General features: G+C 50.9%; 1 protein-coding gene across 1 annotated transcript in view, besides 3 other annotated features; it reads left to right on the top strand.

Moving 5' to 3' along the window:
• LOC112267908 (translation initiation factor IF-2-like) overlaps nucleotides 1-15,872 on the top strand; it is a 92,138-nt gene that overhangs the window by 895 nt on the left and 75,371 nt on the right. The window contains exons 2-3 of the mRNA XM_047449437.1: nucleotides 641-659; nucleotides 9,295-9,732. Coding sequence (XP_047305393.1) covers nucleotides 641-659; nucleotides 9,295-9,732 — 457 coding nt within the window. The remainder of the gene's footprint in view (nucleotides 1-640; nucleotides 660-9,294; nucleotides 9,733-15,872) is intronic.
• Nucleotides 1,067-1,267: a silencer, noted in NCBI's record as "peak4810 fragment used in MPRA reporter construct". NCBI's record gives its function as "represses an SCP1 promoter by STARR-seq MPRAs in K562 erythroleukemia cells {active_cell/tissue: K562}" and the evidence as "EXISTENCE:reporter gene assay evidence [ECO:0000049][PMID:32103011]".
• Nucleotides 5,679-6,187: an enhancer, noted in NCBI's record as "H3K4me1 hESC enhancer chr3:125481608-125482116 (GRCh37/hg19 assembly coordinates)". NCBI's record gives its function as "activates a minimal SCP1, AML or CMV promoter by ChIP-STARR-seq in naive H9 embryonic stem cells {active_cell/tissue: H9 hESC(naive)}" and the evidence as "EXISTENCE:reporter gene assay evidence [ECO:0000049][PMID:30033119]".
• Nucleotides 9,523-10,167: an enhancer, noted in NCBI's record as "H3K4me1 hESC enhancer chr3:125485452-125486096 (GRCh37/hg19 assembly coordinates)". NCBI's record gives its function as "activates a minimal SCP1, AML or CMV promoter by ChIP-STARR-seq in naive H9 embryonic stem cells {active_cell/tissue: H9 hESC(naive)}" and the evidence as "EXISTENCE:reporter gene assay evidence [ECO:0000049][PMID:30033119]".

Below are 15,872 nucleotides of genomic sequence, written 5' to 3' on the forward strand. Positions count from 1 at the left end.
CAGAGATTCTGGAGGTTTCCATCTTTTAGTCTGCCATCTCAGAGTTTTTCACTTGTAGCCATATGGATAGGAAGAGAGGGAACATAGCTCACACTTGCCTTTGATAACCTTGGCCCAGAAGGGATTTCTTACATTCCTATTGGCGGAAATGCAGTCACATGGTTCCAAACTAACTGCAAGTGAGGCTGGGAAATGTAGTCTTTCTGCATGCCCAGGAAGAGGAATGGTGTGAACATAGCATTGTCTTTGACACACTAAGTATGTGCTAAAGAGTTCTTACTCTTATAGGAGGTTTGTCTGTCCTGTGTAACTTTCTCAGTTTTTGCTTAGATAGTTTCAGGCAATGTTGTTTGGTGCATTCAGCTTGATGATTATTATGTCCTCTTGGCAAAGTAGTCAAGATTCCCATCAGTTTGAATGAAAGTGTTTTACAAATTGGTCAGGAAATGTTAATACTTTAAAAGGCCCTTCTATTCCTCCACTCTACAGATAAGAACAACAGAGTCCTAGAGAGAGGAGATCATGGGTCTCTCTCATGAGTGGCAGAATTGAAACCAACATGGCAGTAACTTTGCCTTCCCCCATCATGTTGTTCTCCCTCTATATTCACTCTGCTGATTTCTTCATTTGCTCCATACAGACCTCCCAGTGCCAAGTGTGTAAGTGTGTCCAGAATTGGTGGGTTCTTGGCCTCACTGACTTCAAGAATGAAGCCGCAGACCCTCCTGGTGAGTGTTACAGTTCTTAAAGGTGGCGTGTCTGGAGTTTGTTCCTTCTGATGTTCGGATGTGTTTGAAGTTTCTTCCTTCTGGTGGGGTTTGTGGTTTCGCTGGTTCAGGAGTGAAGCTGCAGACCTTCATGGAGAGTGTTACTGCTCTTAAGGCTGCACGTCTGGAGTTGTTCATTTCTCCTGGTGGGTTCATGGTCTCGCTGGCTTCAGGAGTGAAGCTGCAGACCTTCTCGGTGTTACAGCTCATAAAGGCAGTGTGGACCCAAAGAGTGAGCAGCAACAAGATTTATTGCAAAGAGCAAAAGAACAAAGCTTCCACAGTGTGGAAGGGGACTCCAGCAGGTTGCCACTGCTGGCTCGGGCAGCCTGCTTTTATTCTCTTACCTGGCCCCACCCACATCCTGCTGATTGGTCCATTTTACAGAGAGCCTGAGTGGTCTGTTTTGACAGGACACTGATTGGTGCGTTTACAATCCCTGAGCTAGACACAATGGCTCCCCACGTCCCCACTAGATTAGCTAGATACAGAGTGTCCACACAAAGGTTCTCCAAGTCCCCACCATAATGGCTAGATACAGAGTGTTGATTGTTGCATTCACAAACCCTGAGCTAGACACAGGGTGCTGATTGTTGTGTTTACAAACCTTGAGCTAGATACAGAGTGCCGATTGGTGTATTTATAATCCCTTAGCTAGACATAAAGGTTCTACAAGTCCCCAGCAGACTCAGGAGCACAGCTGGCTTCACCCAGTGGATCCCGCACAGGAGCTGCAGGTGGAGCTGCCGGCCAGTCCCTCTCCGTGTGCCCACACTCTTCATCCCTTGGGTGGTCGATGGGACTGGGTGCCATGGAGCAGGGGGCGGTGCTCGTCGGGGAGGCTCGGGCCGCACAGGAGCCCACGGAGGGGGGAGGCTAAGGAATGGCGGGCTGCAGGTCCCGAGCCCTGCCCCGCGGGGAGGCAGCTAAGGCCCGGCGAGAAGTCGAGCACAGCAGCTGCTGGCCCAGGTGCCAAGCCCCTCACTGCCCGGGCTGGCCAGGCTGGCCTGCAGATCCTAGTGCGGGGCTGCCAAGCCCACGCCCACCCGGAACTCCAGCCGGCAGACAAGTAGCGCGCATAGCCCCGGTTCCGGCTCACGTCTCTCTCTCCACACCTCCCTGCGAGCTGAGGGAGCCAGCTCCGACCTTGGCCAGCCCAGAAAGGGGCTCCCACCGTGCAGCTGCGGGCTGAAGGGCTCCTCAAGTGCCGCCAAAGTGGGAGCCCAGGTAGAGGAGGCATCGAGAGCGAACGAGGGCTGTGAGGGCTGCCAGCATGCTGTCACCTCTCATAAGGAGTGATTAATCTGAGCTTCTCCAGAAAGTCCATTCCTGGTAGGCACTGGGAATAAGAAATCTCAGAGTATAAAAAAACATCAACTGGTAGTACTTTTGTGAATGGCTCCCAAATTAGATCCTTTACTTTTTTTTTTCATGAAGCACAGTTGCCCAAAACACGCTTAGCCTGAGATGAAGCGCATATTAGAGAAAGTTTCTCTCTATAGCATTATGTATTACTCGAATGAGCATTAAAAAGAGGAGACGGGACATGCTCTCTCTAGCTATTATTACCTCCACTATAGAGTTGACATACACAAGCTCATTATTGCATTATGTTTTATTCAACAAAATAATGTTGAAGCTTATATTGAATTCTCTAAAACATCTTTGTCTCCAGCATAGTGTGCCTCAAGTGTCTCCTTGGTGCCTGAATTTTCTCCAGAATTATAGTGCTGAAGCTATGGAAATGGTGAAATTATATGCAATCTGCAAAACAATGTGGCTATAACGTGGTAATTGGCCTTCCACATAATTAAAGGAACATTTCCTCATCAGAGCTGTTCCATCAGAGACCCAAAGGCTATCGTTATACAAATCACCCACTTAGGAAAACCTTTATTCCCAGTAGCCTATAAAAATCTGGTTATGCAAACAGATTTGCTTATTCAGTAACATTAATGGCTTCTCATAGTTAAAAAGTCATCAATGTGATTGACCTATAATCTGTTTCCTCTGTGACCAAGTGTCATTTTTATTTTGACAGTTAGGAGCCTTTTGACTCTTTCACAGCTGGCATGAAGGTACAGGGAGGGAAATCTCAAAAACCAACAACCTGTGTATTCCCAGCCTATTAATCAATAGAAAATCACTTCAACTGGATTAGGGTCTTGTACCTGGCAGAAAGGCTGTTATGGACATTGGAATTGGATTTTTACACTAGATATGACACCTCTTTGCGTCAGATCACATTCGTTTTTGATAGACTCTTGCCGAAAAATTGCTCCAGGGTCTGTGCAGTAGCTAAAGCCTTTTTGTTGTTGTTGTTGTTTTAAAAGCAGCATTCAATGTTTTCATGAAGACCTTCCCCGCAGTGATTTCATTGGGAATATGGTCTTTAGCTCTGGTCCTGAATAACTCACACTGAGGAAACCTCTAACAAGTGTTTTATTGGAAGATGTCTGATGGATGGTTGGTTTTAATAACGAATCTCTTCCCTTTTTCTGTCCTCTGTGTTCTATTCTCCTTTCTCTACACATTATTCTGGGAGGATTCACCTATTCCCAAAGTCCTTTCCTCTTTATTTCCATTCCAGAGCTCTCTGTATAACTCCAGGCTGATGAATCCAACGGCCCAGTTGTTATCTCCACTTGGCTGTCTTTCTTGCATTGACCTCATCTTACCTTGCCTCTCCTGATTTCCTCTTCTGCCTGGGCTCACCACTTCAGATTCACACCACCATCCACCCAGCTTCCAAAACACCTGGGCCTCCTCCTTCATTCCTCCCTCTTTCTCAGTCAAGTTAGTCTACTGTCTCCTCTCCATCCTCACTGCCACAGCCTTGGTCCAGCCAACCATCTTGTCTCACTTGGCGTATTGCAGCCTCCTACCTGGTCTACTCACCTCCCACTCTCCTCCAGCCAGACTGCTCTTTTTATAGCACAAAGTGGATCATTACTCCCCTGCCTAAAAACATCTACTGTCTCCCTTTGTCTACAGGATAAACACGACAAAGAGCCTTTAAGATTTGGCTCCAACTTACCTCTATATTAGTCACTTTTTAGAATTATATGAACATCTCTCAGCTCCTCACCCTCTCACGTCTTGATTTTTGCACGTGCTCTTCCCTCTGCTGGGAATGATCTTCCACACCTCTCCTATCGACCTGGCTAATTCCTACCATTTTCTAGTCTTCAACTGAGGAGTCCTGTGGTGGAGAAAGATTTCTCACCACCTGATAGAGATTGCATGTCCACCCACCTCCGGACTTTTATTTATTTATTTATTTATTTATTTTTTTGACGGAGTTTCGCTCTGACCATGCAGGCTGGAGTGCAGTGGCGCGATCTTGGCTCACTGCAATCTCCGCCTCCCGGGCTCAAGCAATTCTCCCACCTCAGCCTTCTGAGTATCTGGAATTACGGGTGCCCACCACCACATCTGGCTAATTTTTTTTGTATTTTTAGTAAAGACAGGATTTCACCATGTTGGCCAGGCTGTTTTCGAACTCCTGGCCTCAAGTGATCCACCCACCTTGGCCTCCCAAAGTGCTGGGATTACAGGCAAGAACAACTGCACCTAGCCAATCGGGTGCCCCTTCTATTTGCTCCCATTGCCCCAGGCATACTGTCACCATAACTCTTACCATTCTGAGTTGAAAATGATTTTTTTTCTTTTTATTTCTCTCATTAAATGCAAAGCTCATTGAAAAGAGGACAGTGGTTGTTCACTGTTGTACTCCTAACCTTTGACTCAGTGTCCTGAGGTTGGCTTTAGAGCTGTGCACACATGTTCAGACATTGGAGCACATCTTATCTAGCACCTCTTTTGAGGTGGCTTAGAGAAAAGTCAGTAGGTACTTCCCCAAGAATGAAACAGAAGCTTCACCTAAATCAGTTCTTCAACTTCAGCCTGCATTAGACTCCTCTGAGAGCTTATTAAAAATACAGTCTCCTAGAGCCCACTCTTCAAGAGTCGGTGAGTTGCTTCATCATCAAAATATGTACAGAATTCAGGCAGTCTTCAGCGCCAGCCTGGTCTGAGCCACTGTGGACTCCCACCTGCAGAATCTCCCTGCTGGTCTCCTTGCTTCTGCTGTTACCTTCTTATTACCCATTCAAGTAGCCAGGGTGATCCTTTAAAAATTTTTTTTAAATTTGTTTGAGATGAAGTCTCACTCTGTTGCCCAGGCTGGAGTGCAGTGGTGCTATCTCAGCTCGCTGCAGCTCTACCTCCTAGGCTCAAGCCATCCTCCTACCTCAGCCTCCTGGGTAACTGGGACCACAGACATACACCACCGCACCCGGCTAATTTTTGTATTTTTTGTAAAGTCACGGTCTTGCTATTTTGCACAGGCTAGTCTTGAACTTCTGTGTGCACCCACCTCAGCCTCCTGCATTTTTAGGAGGCCCCTCTTGTACAGATTTTGATGCAGAGGGCTGGGTGCCTCATGTCTCCTCCCATCTCCCTCTGTCTTTCTGTCTCTGTCTCTGTCTATCTCTCTCTCTTTCTCTTTGCCTTATAGCTGCCCTGGGGACTAGACTCTGCCTTAGGCATCCCTCTGACTCTTGTTTGCTTTTACACTGAGTCTCCTTTAAGTTGCACATTGATCTGAAGCCTTGGGCTTCTGTTCCTATTCCTCGCTTTTGTTGGAAGGGCCGTGCAGCTTCTTGACAAATTGCAAAGGTGCCCACGAGTTTCCAAGTCCCCAAGAACCAAACCAGATGACAAACAAAGATGCAGCCCACAGCTGGGGAGACAGATTTCATGTCCACACAGAGACTCCAAGATGCTGAACTGAAATCCACCCTGGAACCTGTTTTCTCTCTCATTTAAGTTCAATGTCACCTGGGGGATTGCAGGGCAGGGCTGGTTACCATTCACAGGGCAAAGATGCTTTGAAATGGCAACTGAGAATGGTGTGGTGGTTGACAGATGGCACGTCACAGCATAGATTAATATGGAAAGAGAAACTCACCCCTTGGGGGGAATGTGTGAGGCTGGCAGCCACACAGAGGGCTTTTCCTGCGAGCTCTTGCACAGATGCAAACAGCCAGGAGGTTTTGCTTTCTGAGCCTGAGTGGAAGCATTTTCCTCCCTGCACATTGCCACTCTGCAGCAAATGTTTATTCCTGTTGCATTGATTAAAAGTGCTTACCAGGCCGGGCGCGGTGGCTCACGCCTCTAATCCCAGCACTTTGGGAGGCCGAGGCAGGCAGATCACAAGGTCAGGAGATCGAGACCATCCTGGTTAACACGGTGAAACCCCGTCTCCACTAAAAATACAAAAAATTAGCCGGGCATGGTGGCGGGCGCCTGTATTCCCAGCTACTTGGGAGGCTGAGGCAGGAGAATGGCATGAACCCAGGAGGCAGGGCTTGCAGTGAGCCGAGATTGTGCCACTGCACTCCAGCCTGGATGACAGAGCAAGACTCCGTCTCAAAAAAACAAAGTACTTACTGAAGGGGTTTGAGGGCAGTGGTGACAGTGTGAGTTATGGCTTTGCCGGCTGCCAGTGGAGCCATCCGCTCTGCACAGCCGTGCAAGGGTGTTTTGAAAAGTGGCTCAGCCGGCCAGGAGTGACTGGGTGTAAATGTTGCTGCCACAACATCTTGTAGCCTGACTGGGGCCGTGTTTGCAGAACCCCTAAACCACTACACTTGTTCAGGCTTAAAAATAAGCTTAGGTTTTTTTGTTTGTTTTGTTTTGTTTTGTTTTATGAGATGGAGTCTTGTTCTACCAACGGGTTGGAATGCAGTGGCATGATCTCGGCCCTGTGCAACCTCTGCCTCCTGCGTTCAAGTGATTCTCCTGCCTCAGGCTCCCGAGTAGCTAGGACTACAGGGGTGTGCCATCATGGCCAGCTAATTTTTGAATTTTTAGTACAGACGGGGCTTCACCATGTTGGCCAGGATGGTGCGATCTCTTGACCTCGTGATCTGCCCGCCTTGGCTTCCCAAAGTGCTAGGATTACAGGCGTGAGCCACTGTGCCTGGTCAAACATAAACTTACTTTCTTACCTCTTCTGCTGAACTCTATTTGCTTCTTTTCTCAACTTCTGCTGAACTCTATTTTGCTTCTTTTTTTCTGGATAAAGCTCTTCTTTATCCAGAGGAGCTTTTAGCAACAAAGTTAACCAATGACCTTCCCTAGTCTCTCCTTGCAACTGGCTCTCAGCGGGGGGGTGGGGGGGTTAGGAGGAAATCCTTGACAGAACCAATTTACATGACTGTTTGGAGGACTCTCGCTAGCTCCAGGAGGTGTTTGCATTTTTAAATTGGTTACTAGTGTCAGAATGTTTCATGAGTAAGAGCACAGCCTCTAAGTTGGATACCCTGAATTTAAATCTCAACATAGCCATTTTGTATATAACCAGAGGATGGATTTGGGGACCCAATGGACCTACCATGACATGAACTTGCACCAACATTCACCTGACTTCCAAAATGTCTTTTCTGACTGGTAGACCCTAGTCTCGCCCTAGTGCCAGTTCAGAGCCTGTGTCCAGTGATCCTGCACAGGTCCCATTAGTTCCTTTTCTACTATTCAGTCATCCTGGTAAAAGGCTGTGTATTCCCTTGGGGGCAGGCTGGGAGAAAGATTGACAGTATTAATTTGTGGCATTGGAGCAGAGTCCTTTCTGGAGGGGACCTGGCTTCCCATTCAGACAAGGGACTCTGGGTCTGTGAACTGGCTTATGTCTGGGAATTGACTGGGGACTGTGACTCTGTTTTTATGATTCAGATTAGACTTCTGCTCACCTGACCTAGAATTCTTCTGCAAACACAGATCCAGTAAAAATGTGGCAGGCTTCTTATCTATTTCACTTCTAGGAATGCCATGATCAGCTGGCACCATATGTCTCTGCGAGTCAGGCTATTCTGGCTGCAGCTTTGACTCTGCTGTCTTTTATGGTAACTTCATCCACCTTGCCTTTGGGGATTGAGTGCTCTGATCACTTGGCCCCAGCCTCTGTAGTGTGCCTATGTCACTTACCCTCTTTATACCTCAGTTTCCTTCTCTATAAAATGGGCATCCTCATTGCACCTACCCCCAGGGCTGCTGTGAGGTATAGATGGATTAGCATATGGAAAGTAATAGAAGAGGGACTCAAAGCCCATGTGTTCTTATCAGAATTATTTCGTGACAGGGGAGAGCTGGAGGAGAGAGGAAGGTGCTGAGCAGACCCATGTGCTCCCCCACCAGTGATTCCTGAGCACCTACTATGTGCTGCCCACTGTGAGAGCTGTTAGGGTTGAAATAGGGAGCACAGCAGGGTAGGGGCTGCAATCAGGAGCTTAGTGGGGAGACCATTGTGCAACATGTTTCCAGAGCTTGGGGTGGGGAAGCTCAGGGAGTACAGGGACCTAGGATCCTGGGCAGAATCATGGAAAGGACACAGCCTCCCCAGCCTCTACTGCCTCCACTGCCTCCCTGGCCTCCTCTGCTTCCCTGGCCTCTCCTGCCTTCCTGGCTTCCCCTTCCACCCCGGCCCTCCCCAGTCTCCCCTGTCTCTCCTGCTTTTGAGGTGGGCCAGGAGATGCTGGTGTTCACTTAGCCTGTCCTGGACTCTGGGTGTAGCATTTCGATGTCCAGAAAATACCCCCGGCTTCAGCTCATCACACAACCAAGGAAGGAGCTCCACACTGACACTAAGGGTGCATCCTGGGCTCATTCATCAGGGCATGCCTCCAAAATATTTCTCCACGTCTCCTCCCTTTGCCCACCTGCATTGTCTCTGTGCCTCAGCCCTGGCTGGGGGCCTGCAAGGATCCCCTATCTCCTCTGCCCCTGCACAGCTGGGTCCCAGGCAATCTGTCCCCCCACCACACCTCTCTCACCTTGCCCACCATGCTCCAGCCCCACAGTCCTCTTTCTGCTTCTTTCCCAGCCTCTGGGCTTTTGCACACGCTGTTCCTTCTGCCTGAACACCCTCCACTGGGCTGAGAACAACTCTCTGAGACCTCTCTCAGCTGTTGTTTCCTTTGGAATAGCCGCTGCTGCTGGCCCTCTCCCAGCTCCAAGACCTGCTGAGCCTCCTGTCTTTTTTAGTTCCCATGCCCCCAGCACTTCTTCTTGGCCTCCTTTGGCCCAATTGACAATGTCCATTCTCAATGCCTTCTCACCCAGCACTGAGCCCCACTGGGTGAAGGCAACGCCTGTCATGTTCACCACAATATCCCCTCCCCCATCACCACGCCTGGTCCACAGAGATGCTCAAAAAAGATCTGTTGGTAGGCAATGCGAAGGTGCATTCATGTCATCCTGCAGGCGGAATTCTCCACGAGTTTTGAGCAGCCTCAGTTTTCCCACCACCTCCAAATCATGGAAGACGCAGGGTAAGAGCAAAGACAAGGTGGCTGTGGCCGATGTCCACCCTCTCGGGGCGTCCCTTCTCTTCTCTCCTCCTTGGGCAGGGAGACCATCGGGGTGCAACCTGGCTGGGGCGGGGAGGAGGTGCAGGGCCTGGCCAGAGCGGGCCTGGCCACAGGCAGGGGACAGCGACTGCTTGGGCCTGGGCAGGTGAGCGCAGCGCAGGCCAGGGCCCGGCGTGTCCGCGGTGAGCGCGGGCGGCCAGCAGAGGGCGCCAGAGAGCCAGGAGCGGCCCGCGGAGGAGTCCGCGCCCGCCCTGATGCCCAGCTCCGCGCCGCGCGGACCCACCGAGCCCGCGTTCAGACGCCCCAGCTCCGCCGACAGGCCGCTCGCGCCGGGTCCTTCCTCTTCCCCAGGTGCAGGCAGAGCCCCCAGAGCCATGGCCAGCCCTTCCGGCAGCTCCGAAGCCACTGGCAAGCCCCGAGGCAGGGATGGCGGGCCCAGGAGGGAGGAGGACGACGTCCCTCCCGAAGAGAAGAGGCTGCGGCTGTTGCTGGAGAGGGGAAGCGCGCAGCCCGAGGACTGCGAGGACGGGGAGGACGCGCCGCGGCCAGGCAGGAAGAAGACCGGCACCCAGACAGGTGGCGACGGCAGAGGAGTAAGTGACGTTGGCGCGGGGGTCCGGGGGTGCCAGGGGCGCGGGGTAGGGGCGGCGGGAGGCTCCGTGGCCGGCCCTGGGTTAAAGTTGGTAATTGAGCGGCAACTCCGGCGGGCGCGGAGTGACAGCTCGTGACGGCCTCCGAGACGCCAGCTGCCCCTTCTCGGCTGTGTGGCTTCGACTTCCTGATTCTCCCACGACGTCCCTGGCCGGGAGACCCGCTGGACTCTGCGGCTGGCCAAAAGGGGAGGGGGAGCCCCGCGTCCTGGGGGCCCCTAGCGGAAGGGGCGGGGGTTGCGCTGGGCATCCTGTCTGGGGCATCTGTCTGGGACTCTGTTGGTGCCTCTCACCTGGCGAGGGGCCTGTGGTGTGGGTAGGGGGGAAGTCCCTGCCATGCTTGGCCAAGCCCTGCTCTGCTGGGCTGCGGGCTGGCGGCGCTCACCCAGCTCCTCACCTGTCCCTCATCTTCCTGTTTTTCTTCCCTTTCTGGTTGGGCAGCGAGAGTTGAGAGAAGGCAGATGGCTTCCATCCCAGAAATCGCTCTCCTCTTTCCATCCCTACAGAGAGGGACAGGGAGGCAAAGTTCCTTCCATCCCCCGGGGCGCTGTCCCTGTGAGCTCCCGGTGTCCTGCACACGTGGGCCCCTGAGTCACTGGGTCTGTGTGTGTGGGATGGGGCTCCGTGGCCAGCCTGTCCTCCTGGGGTTCACTTTCTGCTTTCCTACGCCAACTCTTCCTGTGTGGCTTTGCTGGCCTTCCACTGAGGAGGCACATGGGTTTGGAGGGCAGATGAGGTCCCACTGGAGAGCTGTAACCCTCAGTGAGGGCCGCCACCTTGACGGTTTTTGATGGATAATGGGGTTGACTTCTTTGTTCCTTCCACATGTTTTTATGTTTGACCATTTGCTCAGCTGAACTTGTCTTAATAATTGGATTCGTGGTGAATGAGCCCCACATGGGCGAGAGGGTGGCCTTCATTCTGAACCCATTTAGGCAGCACGGGCGGCCCTCCTCGCCGTGGGCGGCATCAGAGCCCCCCCCTGCACAGTCTTGGGGTTGCTCCCGGATGCTGTCTGGGAGGCTTGCTCATGGTGACATCCTCATCTCTCCGTGCACGTTACCGCATTCAGAGCTTGGGTCACCTGGACACTGAACTCAGATGAATTCTCTCTGAGATCCTGGGAGAAGGAGGATAGTTCTGTGGAAGGTTTTCCAGGGCCGATCACGGAAAGGATGAGAGGGGAGAGGTCCTGGTCGGGACACAATTACGGTGGCAGTGTAACGCCGGGACACTTTATTGCATGAAGTCCCTCTCACTCCCTCTACCTCCCTCTTTTACGTGGACTCTGCCAAAGACCAGGATACCAGAATGCAGTGGAGTGACCAAGTGTAGTGGGACCTTGGGAACCCGAGTCTGGAGCCAGGCGGCTGGGGTTTGCATCCTGGTTCTGCCCCTCCTTAGCTGGCTGACATGGCACAAGCCACTTACCCTCTCTGAGCCTTACTGTCTTCAGTGGCAAATGGATCTGTCAACAGGCCCCATTGCCTGGGGTTGTTACTGCTGAGATTAAGGGAAGCTCGTCCATAGAAGCACTTAGCCTTGTGCCTGGCACATAGTGTATGGTGGATAAATGGGACTTAGGACTAAAACTCATGCCTTGGTGTGTTTTTGCAGTGATGTTTTGTTCTGGGGTGCATCAAAAGAGACAAGGTTCTTGGTTGGGCATGATGGCTCAAGCCAATAATCCCAGCACTTTGAGAGGCTGAAAAGGGAGGATCACTTGTGCCAAGGAATTTAAGACCAGCTGGGCAACATGGTGAAGCCTCATATCTACCTAAAAAAAAAAAAAAAAAAAAAAAAGCCAGTTATAGTGGTGTGTGCCTGTAGTCCCAAGTACTTTGGAGGCTGAGGTGGGAGGATTGCTACAGCCTGGAAGGTCAGGCTGCAGTGAGCTGGGATCTTGCCACTGCACTCCAGCGTAGGTCACAAAGTGAGACTGTTTCAAGGAAAAGAGAGAGAGACAGACAGACAGACCCACAAGAGTCTTAAGCCAGAATCTCCATGTTAAAATGCTTTCTGGAGGCTAAAAGGATGATATGTTGATAATGAAATATTTAAAAGGCAGAAACCCCACTGAATTGTTTGGTCCACAGAGGGAAATGGGAATCGCATGACCTGAGGCATGATGGAGGAACTGAACAGAAACCATCCTTGTTTCCTTAATCTGAACATGGCACGCTCTTTTCACGGTGCCTGTATCTGCTCAGTCTGGCGGCCCCTCGAAAAGAGGGAATCTGGATTTTCAAACTTAAAATTTGGCCCAAAGCCCACTGCTGCCCGCAATGGCCGCCAGACACATTCCTCTTCCCTTTTAGTTTCTATGGGAATACTCTCTTTGAAGAACCCATGAAGCAGTGTCAGGCTGGTGTGAGGACCAGCAGTGATTTCTTTGAGGAGGAGAGCCCGTTTCTTCACTCACAGGCCATGTCTGAGTGGATCAAGAAGAACAGAGTGCCCTTTTATGAGATTTTGTCTGCGTAGACCATTAGCTTGGTAAAAATGTCAAAACCATCCTCGTTCTTTAATAGCAGATTATTTTGGACTTTTCTCTGCAAGAAGCAGCATAGGCATTCAGATGCTTTTAAGGATAAAATGTTCTTTCTCATCACCAGGCCTGGTGCTCTGGATGGCTGAGGTTTTACTGTGACTTGGTGTCCCTTGGAGTGGCTCCCAGGCTGTGCTCTTGTGGTTGGGTGGCAAGGGGTTGCTTTATTCGGTGGTGGCTAGAGGACGTTTTAGCAGATAAATCGGGACCCCAGGAGCCCCTGAGTGCCAAGTCCTGCTGCAGGGCATGTGTTTATGTTGGGGATGTGGGGGGGTGGAGGGTGGGGGACATTGATTTCCTGCCAATATCAGAAGTTTCACAGGCTTCTTGTGTATCCACAAACACCCATCCCATTGAGAAGGCCTAGAAAACCTGGCCCTCGCCAAGTCTTTATTGACCGCTTGTGAATGATCCCAGGGTGTGTCTGACCCACAGCTCCTCCTGGAGGGAGAGAAAAGTCTCTCCTAGGTATTTGGTTATCAACCTCAACCACTTGCTGAGCCTTCCCCAAGACCAGGCATCTTGGCAGAGATTTCTGGGTCGTCAGGCAGAACCGAGCATTCAAGGGTGATAACTCACTGGAGTCCCTGAAATCCCTGATGGACGCACCAGGTAAAAGCATCCAGGGTTGAAACCAGATCAGGAAGGTTATTGTCAGCCTGGGGCGCCTGTAGAGGTGCATCCACGTTGCAGGTATTTTCCCTTCTTGCTGAGGAGAAACCTGGGTTTCTCAGCTTTGGCACAGTCACAACACTTGGGGTCAGACCATTCGTGGTGGTGGTGGGAGGGGCGTCCTGTGTATTGTAGGATGGTTAGCAGCATCTCTGGTCTCCATCCTCTAGGTGCCATCCTACCCTCCCAGCTATGGCTACCCCAGATGTCTCCAGATGCTTTCAAATGCTGTGGGACAAGGGAGTGGTACATGAGCAAAACCACCCCAGTTGAGAGCCATTGGTCTACACTTGTGGAAATGTTTGAGGGTGAGAGTGTCGAGCTCGGGTCCCTGCTGTACCCTTTATGAGCAATGCGATCTTGGAAAATTAATACGACTCCAGGGGCCTTAGTTTTCTCATCTATAAAATGGAGATAAATGAGATACACTTTCATAGGAAGGTTATATGGGATTTACTGAGATAATAAGACAGTACATGGCCGGGCGCGGTGGCTCACGCCTGTAATCCCAGCACTTTGGGAGGCCGAGGCGGGCGGATCACGAGGTCAGGAGATCGAGACCATCCCGGCTAAAACGGTGAAACCCCGTCTCTACTAAAAATACAAAAAATTAGCCGGGCGTAGTGGCGGGCGCCTGTAGTCCCAGCTACTTGGGAGGCTGAGGCAGGAGAATGGCGTGAACCCGGGAGGCGGAGCTTGCAGTGAGCCGAGATCCCGCCACTGCACTCCAGCCTGGGCGACAGAGCGAGACTCCGTCTCAAAAAAAAAAAAAAAAAAGACAGTACATGAAAAATGCTGGGCATAGCATTTATTTATTTTTATGTTTTTTAAAGACCTAATCTTACTCTGTTGCCCAGGCTGGGGTGCAGTGGCATGATCTCCGCTCACTGCAACCTCCACCTCCTGGGCTCAAGTGATTCTCCTGCCTCAGCCTCCCGAGTAGGTGGGATTACAGGTGCCCACCAACACACCTGGCTAATTTTTGTATTTTTAGTAGAGATGGGGTTTCACCATGTTGGCCAGGCTGGTCTCGAACTCCTGACCTAAGGTGATCCTCCTGCCCCGGCCTCCCAAGGTGCTGAGATCACAGGTGTGAGCCACCACGCTGGGCTGGGCATAGCATTGTAACACAGACAAAGCACAAAATACTTGGGCAATATCTTTTTACATTTGGCTTGTCTAGACTCCATCCTCCATCCCCTCATGCACTGGTGTGGTGCAGACCAGAATATCACCCACCTAGACTGCAGAATGGATTTGGGTGGCATCTTGGCTTTCTGCACAAGACTTGCCTGTTCCCCACCACATCCCCCTGGTTCTCAGGGTCCAGGATTCCAGGAGGCAGGGATGTGGGCAGGCAGGGTAGGTGGCCCACCCAGTTCACTCCCACGCTGGGGACCTGCAGAGCTGGCTGTCCGAGACAGGTTGTTTGGACCAACATCTGGGTTTCTGGATTTCCATTTGAGCACAGCTGGACTACACAGGCTGAAGCTCTCTCTGCCGAGATATAGATATTTCCCTGGTGATGATCTTTCAAGCTGACATGAAGACATGGCCACCCACTGGAACGTCGTGTGTCTGCCGTGGCGCTCTTGTAATTTGTGAGGGAGGCTCCTGACGAATGCAGTGCGTAAGTGGGAAATGGTGGGAAGTTCTCGCATCCCCCCGCTTGGCCGAAAGTGCTGCCTGCGCAGATTTGTGGATGGTCCTTTGAGCAGGAAGAAGACACGGAACACATTCCTGTTAGCTATGACAGAGAGGGGCAGGGTACACACTGGAGATTTCAAGCCCCTCCAGAGAAGCAAGTCTTACTATGCTAGGAGTACTTGTGGAGTGGGGGCTGTGTTGCCCTGGGCTTTAATTATTTCAGGAACATTTAACCGCAGGGTTGGCAGGCTGGATCTTGATATGTGTTTCTCAGTTGGAAAGACTTTGGACCATAGGGAAATGTCTTCTCAATTCTTTTAATTTCATTAAGGTTGTCATTTTTCTTCTTGTGGCCTCTGGAATGTGACACAGAACTCAAGGGACAGGAAGGAGATGAGTTGGCGGCTGGGACAGGGGTCCCTGCCAGGGATGCTGGTGACTCACATGACGGTGTTGATGTGTGGAGTCCGGTGCCTGGTTTGGGGAATATTCGTGGGATATGTTCCAAAGGACTGATGGACCTATCAGGTACTGGAGGTGAATGGTCAAGTCTGACCTCAGGGCTGACAGTGTCAGGCAAGGACAGGAAGTTGACGTTGGACTCATTGGCTGAGGTTGCTTGGGACCCAGGGGGCAACGTGTGCCAGGACAGATGGGTCTGGGGCTAGGAAGGCAGGTTTGGGCTGGAGACTTGGGCTGGGGATGCATCCCAGGTAGGCAGTGGTTGAGGCTGTGGAAATGACCACGATTGCCTGGAATGAGAGTGGAGACAGACAAGATGGGTGTTTTGCTCTAAGCCTGGGGAACCCACCTCCCAGGTTCAAAGGATTCTCCTCCCTCAACCTCCCAAGTAGCTGGGAATGCAGGTGTGCACCACCATGCCCGACTAACTGTTGTATTTTTAGTGGAGATGAGGTTTGGCCAGGCTGCTTTCAAATTCCTGACCTCAAGTGATCGGCCCACCTTGGCCTCTCAAAGTGCTGGGATTATAGGCATGAGCCACCATGCCTGACCATTTTTAAATATTAATTTTTATGAAATATTTTCAAACATTTTACTGTACATTGGAAAAGTCAATCATGATTTGAAAACTTTATCAAAATCCAATCAAATGTCAATTAACCATTTAATTGTGGATGAGTAAGGAGACTATTTTGACCAAAACATGTTAGAACAATTACCACTTATAGAAATAATCTATGTTTTAATGTTTTAG

The sequence above is a fragment of the Homo sapiens genome, chromosome 3, assembly GCF_000001405.40.
Source record: "Homo sapiens chromosome 3, GRCh38.p14 Primary Assembly".
Lineage (NCBI taxonomy): Eukaryota > Metazoa > Chordata > Mammalia > Primates > Hominidae > Homo > Homo sapiens.